Below are 6,916 nucleotides of genomic sequence, written 5' to 3'. Positions count from 1 at the left end.
GAACCTCGGGTGCTGGCGCGCCTGAAGTTGCAGACCAGACTGAAATGTGCGAGACATGTGCCTTTTTCTTAGGAAAGGCCCCAGGTACCAGAAAGGTTTTCAGCGCGCCGACCTACGGGGCTAAGAGGGCTGAAATAAGAACCAGTGACTGAGCGCCGGGAGGTTTAAGGTTTATGGAAGATGTTCATCGCGCCGTACCCTACTAGAGGTTTGGGGACGTGGGACACAGCCCCTGCGTTCCCGCCGCGGACCCCGTGATAAATACACAGACACACAAAATCACTACCGCCTTGAATCTGGACAGCTACCTCAGGTGGTTAATATCTAACAGGAGCAGAGTGGAGCTCAGAAAGACTCAGCGTGGGTGCTGGGTTCCGGCGCGACCAGCCTGATACCTAGGTCAGCATCTCAGCCACACAAGCAGGCGGCAGTTCTGTCAGGAATTACTACATCTGGTGATTCCACTTCTCATAGCTCACCGCTGGGAGAATAATTCCTCAGGATTAACAAGATCTATTCCAGAGGATCCTCACTGCTGAAGCGATTTTAGAAGACAGTGTGGTCTGTTGACAGTATGGAATATTCTTTACCCATCAGATATGATCTGTATGTGATTGGAAGGAAATAAACCAACTGCTAACAACACTTCTCTATAGATGTTCAGATTCAGTAATTTTTGTATTTTTCTCTACACTTTTGTTTTTTCAAATTTCCTAGCACAAGAAGACTTTGACTTACTGCACATGTCATTTTAAATGACCTTTATAAAGACTCTATAGAAACAATTTGCTATGTCATGAAAGTAACAATCAAAAAAAGTATGCACATTGTGGCCACAAAGTAAAACTTGTGTGGAAGGTAATGTGCAAAAAAAAAAAAAAATGAGTAAGCTGGTGGTGAGTGACCAAAGGAAAAGGCTTTGTAAAAAACTTTTTTTTTTTTTTTTGAGACGGAGTCTCGCTCTGTCACCCAGGCTGGAGTGCAGTGACGCAGTCTCGGCTCACTGCAAGCTCCGCCTCCCGGGTTCACGCCATTCTCCTGCCTCAGCCTCTCCGAGTAGCTGGGACTACAGGCGCCCGCCACCACGCCCGGCTAATTTTTTTGTATTTTTAGTAGAGACGGGGTTTCACCGTGGTCTCGATCTCCTGACCTCGTGATCCACCCACCTTGGCCTCCCAAAGTGCTGGGATTACAAGCGTGAGCCACCGCGCCCGGCCTGTAAAAAACTTTTTAAAAGATGGTAATAGCTGGCCGGGCACGGTGGCTCACGCCTGTAATCCCAGCACTTTGGGAGGCGGAGGCGGGCGGATCACGAGGTCAGGAGATCGAGACCATCCGGACTAACATGGTGAAACCCCATCTGTACTAAAAATACAAAAAATTAGCCAGGTGTGGTGGCGTGCACCTGTAGTCCCAGCTACTCGGGAGGCTGAGGCAGGAGAATGGTGTGAACCCGGGAGGCGGAGCTTGCAGTGAGCTGAGACCACGCCACTGCACTCCAGCCTGGGCGACAGAGCAAGACTATGTCTCAAAAAAAAAAAAATGGTAATAGTGGCCCGGCGCGGTGGCTCATGCCTGTAATCCCAGCACTTTGGGAGGCTAAGGCGGGCACATCACGAGGTCAGAAGATGGAGACCATCCTGGCTAACACGGTGAAACCCCGTCTCTACGAAAAATACAAAAAATTAGCCGGGCTTGGTGGCGGGTGCCTGTAGTCCCAACTACTGAGGAGGCTGCGGCAGGAGAATCGCTTGAACCCGGGAGGCAGTCGGAGGTTGCAGTGAGCCAAGATCGCACCACTGCACTCCAGCCTGGGTGACAGAGCGAGACTCCATCTCAAAAAAAAAAAGGTAATAGTGTATTTTTAAAAGATGGTAATAGTGTCTCTTCTGCATTGTAAACTCAGAGCTGTGACTAGGCCAATGGGGCATCTCCGTGTTTTTTATTATTCAGGTGATGTTCTGTGCCCTTTGAGTTTACCTTACTTTTGCAGATTACAGAGTAAGCCGCCAGCAGAAGCAATAAAGACATTACTGGGCCTTTGCACTGCAACATCATGCCTCTGAAGAAAAAAAAAGTGCAAACATTACAATAGATTCAGCTCCTTTAGTTCTCACTTCTGTCTCCACGTCAAGATAAAATACTGACATTGAAATAGAATGGATGACATGCTTGAAATGAGTCATGTGCCTGAAAAGTCATTAACAAACAACAGTTCCAGAGAAAAGCCAGGAAAAACTCCCCATGGATTTAGAGACAGAGCTCTCACCTTCAACAGGTTACTTTTTCCTTGTCTCAGGCTTCCTTGGAAAACAACCTATAACTAACTTTCTGGGAGTAAAGCTTCAGGTGGAAGAACAATTGGATCAAACTTGGAAAACGTAAGTGGTCATTTAAATTGTCAGTACCCAAAGATACAAAAAAATCCAATATGGGGCACGCAAAGCTGCTCCTGGAGTGGTTTCCCTTTTGCAGTAGAGGCCTCAACAGTCCTTGACCAGCTTCTCCTGTGGCTGTGCCATTCTTTACCCCACCCCTGGTTAGCATCAGTGGAGACACAGCCACTTGACCTTCAGACCACTGTTGGCCCTCCCTGGGCCGTTTTCCTTACTGGTCTTTTGGATCAAGACATTTCCATGTTATATCTAAATATTTATTCTTGAGTTTTAAACCCACCGGCTAATTCCTGCTTCTCTCTCAAGCCTTAGCTCATATGCTGCTCCCTCCGAGTGATCTTCCTTGACCCTCGACTAGGTTGGCTCAAGGTTATTGGAGCTATGTGCTCTCCCCATATCATCCAGTACATCCCCTGTTGTAACATGTATTCATTTATTCATTCAACAAGTATTTCCTGCATTGAGTCCCTGCAGTGTAGCAGGTACTGTTCTAGTGTTGGGACTGTAGTGGGAATAAAATTAAGTCCCTACCCTTGTGAGGCTAGATTCTAGCGCAAGGACGATAGAAAATACCCAAGTCTATATTTCAATATTTGGTAGTAAGTGCTATGGAGGGAAAAAGGCAAGATAAAGAGACAGATGCTGGGGTGATGCTGATTGAGATGGGCTAATCGGAAGCCTTCTCAAGGAGATGGCATTTGAACTGAGGCTTAAATGAAATAAGGGGTGAGCCTCGCCAAGACTTAGGAGATGTGTCCCAGGTCAGGGAGACAGCAAATGGAAAAGCTGTGTGTGACTGTCCCCCTTGGGGTGGTGGGAAGGTTCTTCATTAAATTCACAGAGGGGTTGGTAGTACCTGGCGTGCGAAAGGGATTTAAACGTGTGGAACAGATGGATGAAGATAATTTACAAATCTTGCCCCAGACACAGACGTTGGCATGTGTACCTCTTTTATCTGGAATATCCTCTTTTCTTTGTTGCCTACATAGATGCCCCCAGTTTGTCTACTCCATTGAACTTTGCATGCTTGGAGCCCCTGGCCTCAGCACACTCAATCGCACAAGCCAGCCTGCAGCACCTGTACAGCACCATGGGAGTCCCCTGCAGAGCTGCAACTTTGAGAGTGGGTATAGTGACGTAACTCAGGTTCTTCAAGGGATGAACACTCCAACTTTGAAACCACTAGCCTGTAGGTGTGGACGAAAAGGCAGCTGCATGTTATAAAACAATATTACTCATACTTTTGGATCAAGCTTCTTTCAGTCCCATGGGTAGGGAGGAGGGGCAATTTGCTGAAGCCCACTGCCCTTCCAGTACTCACAAGCCAAGGGCCCTATGGGATCTGTTTCACAGGACTCATGCTTATGGCAGCTGAGCACATCTGTCCTGTATGTCTGCCAGCAGCCACGTCCCTCTCACTCCTGTGACGACAGCCTTGACTATATTTAGAAATTCCATTTCTGATTGCATTTCACTGCTGAATGGTCCTAGAATCCTTTATTGCCCTTGTCCCATCACAAGAGACAGCCAGCCACAGCCACTTTTATCTCAACAACATACTGAATACTGACAGAACAAACAGGCAAGTTGTAGATTCACCAGGATTTATACATATTTGATTTTTTATTACCAATCAAAAATAAATTCCATATATCGTTTAGCAAATATCATTGTTTTGTGACAAAAGACACAAGAGTCATAACAACAAAACTCCCCGAGAGTCAAACTCATAACGCCAAAATAAATCACAAAAATATACAAATTAAAATATTATGCAAAATAAATACGGCGGCTGTCACCTGCCTACCCATTTGGATGCCCTTTGCAAAGGTCTCCCTTACGTGGAAGACACAGTGGGTGGGCCAGTTCCAGGGTATGGCTCATCCCAGGAACCAGAGGTTGAAATAGGAAGGGAAAAATTGCACTGGGAAGAGGAAGTCATCAGACAAACAATATTTGGAAATAATGATGACCCTCTGTGAGAAGGGATGATCAATGGGCCAGGGAAGAGGAGGAGGGCCAGCCAGTTGGTGGTAACCGTGTGCACAGAGGTCACTGTGGAGGTGTGTGCACCTGCCCCTTTTGCTTCACATACCCCCACCAATGTCTTTTGCTCTACCTGGCAGTCAGGGCTGTCAGGAATATAGCTCTGCCAGCTTCCAAAAGGACTTGGGAGCAAGCTGCTCCTGTACAAGACTAAGGGCTTTCCCCCACTAGGGAACAAAAGTCTGGTGTCTTTTTTCCTTACAGTTGAGAACCCATGGGTGTCACCACCTTCTCTCCAGGCTTCCAGGAGTCAGTTCTATGGCTAGGAGACCTCAGACTGGCCAGGGGTAGGCATACTTGGTGCAAGACAATCCCTGGTCCTAAGAGTTAGGATACTCTAGGCACCTGGAGAGCAGGGCACTTGGGGTGAGGAAAGGAGTGAATAAATAATAATCAGGCGGAAGGCCTGCAGAGTTTCACCTGCCAGGCTCTCGGGACCCAGCTCCTGCTGCACCCAGTGGAAGGACCAACATGGACCTTGGTCCCACAGCCTCCCCAACCCTGGGAAGCCTGGAGTTTTGCAGCAGGGCCTGATTCAGCCCCAGGGAAGAGGCGCCAGGGCAGGAATTCACATGAGGGCAGAGCTCTTAGTACAGTACTACTAACTTCAGCAAGGGCAGGATGACCTCTCACGCTAGGATCACACGTGTGAGAAAGAGGGGCTGCAAGCTGCATGCCTTTAGGAGGAGCCCTCCTCTCCTGAGGTTCCATAAGTGGGTGGATAAGGCCAGGTGAGCCTTGCCAGCCACAGAGGAGAGGACATAAAGAACCTGCTTCCGTGGCTTCCCACATGTCCTCTTGTCTCCACCCCCAAGAGGGACTGAAGCTTGGGGATTCGAAATAAGGGGTCTGGGAAAAAGGCTTCAGTCAACAAGTCAGCCTTGACTGTCATTGTGGGGCGGGGGTGGTACTGACTGCTAACAACGCAGATGCTGATGACTGACAGTTCCTTCTGGAACCAAAAGGAAGAACCCAGACAAATCACCTCCAACACAGATGCCCTCCCGCCGAGGGAGAACCTTTGGTAAAAGTGAGGGCAGGGCCTGGGGAGCAGGGGTGAGCAATCAAAGGCCTGAGACCCTGCCTAACACTTGAGTCAGCCCTGTCACAAAGGGCCAGTTGTCCAAAGGGCCAGATGGGAGGCAGGGTGGGGATGTGTCCTCAGCTGAGTCCCGACTCACCAGGAGAGGCTGTCGGCAGAGTTCTAGATTTCTGGGTACAGCAGTTGACAACAGATGTGCTCCTCTGCATAGCTCAGATTATCATGTCCCTGATCACAGCTACCCAGGAGCTCGTGGCCTCAGCGTTGTCAGATAAGCTACAGCGCAGGTGCTCAGGCAGCTGATCTCCATGCCATTTTGTTCTTTGCTTCTGTGAAGAGCTGTCTTCCTCCCAACAGATAAGCCTCCACTGGCAGGCTCTGGGATCCCACCTCCGGAGGAGGAGGAGGAGGAGGAAGGGAGAGCTCCCTGAATCAGGGACACAAGCTGGAAGGCCATGGCTGGGAACAGATTATGTCCGTTGCTTCCCGGGACAAGAAACCCTTCCTCTTTTATAGTTTTTAGGAAAAAAATATTTTTTTTTTAAATAAAGTTCCTTAACCCTGTCTTCCCTTCCCAAAATGATATTTAAAAAAAAGTGATGAGCCTACTTTAGAAATTCTCTCAGTAAAAAACAGCCTTTGCTTACGGTAGCTGGCCCACTGCCCCCCCTATCCAGGGCTGGACAGTGCCACCTCAGAGCTACTCAGAGGTCCCTGGCAGAGGCCAGATCCCCCATAGGCTGGGGGCCATCTGGCTGTTCAGTCAGACAGGCTATCTATCCGTATCCTTTCTGGACTAACAGGTTCCCTCTCTTCATGTGGGCCCACTGGGGAGGCCCCCGCAGGGTGGGCAGGGGGCCCCGGGCCCTCCTGTCAGATGGCATTCTCGTGGGAGGCTTTGTGCAGCAAGGAGTTACGCTCGTTGAGAAGAGTTGTGGTCTCGTCCACCACAGGCAGCTCAGACTTCTCGGCCAAGTTCTCCATGTGGGTGGTGCACCCGTCTATGGGAAACTGAGGGCTGTTCTCCATGCGAGAAGCCAGCAGCCCGTTCTGGTACTGCTGCCGAGTGATCTGCATGAGGAAGGGATGAGTTCATGGAGGGAGGGGCTGGGAGGCAGACCCTATCACCAGGCCTGGAGAAACAGGGCCAGGATTGAGGCTGTGAGTTGAGAGAGAACATGACCAGTCAGCGTCTCTGGAAGCCCTTACAAAGAACAAGGTGCACGAACAAGAGAAGAAAGCATCTCAGGGCTGGGCACAGTGGCTCACACCTGTAATCCCAGCACTTCAGGAGGCTGAGGCGGGCAAATCGCTTGAGCCCAGGAGTCTCAAGCCAACTTGGGCAACACAGTGAGACCCCATCTCTATAAGGGGAAAAAAAAAAAAAACCCGAAGCCACATGCACACCTGTAGTCCCAGCTACTCAGGAGGC

At 49.4% G+C, this 6,916-nt stretch overlaps 1 protein-coding gene and 1 long non-coding RNA gene across 7 annotated transcripts in view, besides 1 other annotated feature; one reads left to right on the top strand and one right to left on the bottom strand.

Moving 5' to 3' along the window:
• Positions 341-460: an enhancer, noted in NCBI's record as "active region_16233". NCBI's record gives its function as "activates an Ori minimal core promoter by ATAC-STARR-seq in GM12878 lymphoblastoid cells {active_cell/tissue: GM12878}" and the evidence as "EXISTENCE:reporter gene assay evidence [ECO:0000049][PMID:35858748]".
• CNNM3-DT (CNNM3 divergent transcript) lies at positions 2,218-3,636 on the top strand. The gene is made up of 2 exons (NR_149141.1): positions 2,218-2,381; positions 3,386-3,636. It is a non-coding gene; the product is annotated as a CNNM3 divergent transcript (long non-coding RNA).
• The window catches only part of CNNM4 (cyclin and CBS domain divalent metal cation transport mediator 4), a 50,973-nt gene continuing 48,057 nt past the window's right edge, over positions 4,001-6,916 (bottom strand). For 4 of the 6 annotated variants that reach the window (XM_005263914.5, XM_047443912.1, NM_020184.4 and 1 more), the window contains one exon: positions 4,001-6,555. In XM_005263914.5, coding sequence (XP_005263971.1) covers positions 6,358-6,555 — 198 coding nt within the window. In that variant the 3' untranslated portion in view covers positions 4,001-6,357. Of the gene's footprint in view, positions 6,644-6,916 lie in introns of all 6 variants that reach the window. The other 2 variants (XM_047443911.1, XM_005263915.5) reach the window with 1 other exon arrangement.

The sequence above is a fragment of the Homo sapiens genome, chromosome 2 (assembly GCF_000001405.40).
Source record: "Homo sapiens chromosome 2, GRCh38.p14 Primary Assembly".
NCBI classification, from domain to species: domain Eukaryota; kingdom Metazoa; phylum Chordata; class Mammalia; order Primates; family Hominidae; genus Homo; species Homo sapiens.
The sequence above is the reverse complement of the archived record's forward strand: the minus strand, read 5'-3'. Positions and strand labels throughout refer to the sequence as shown.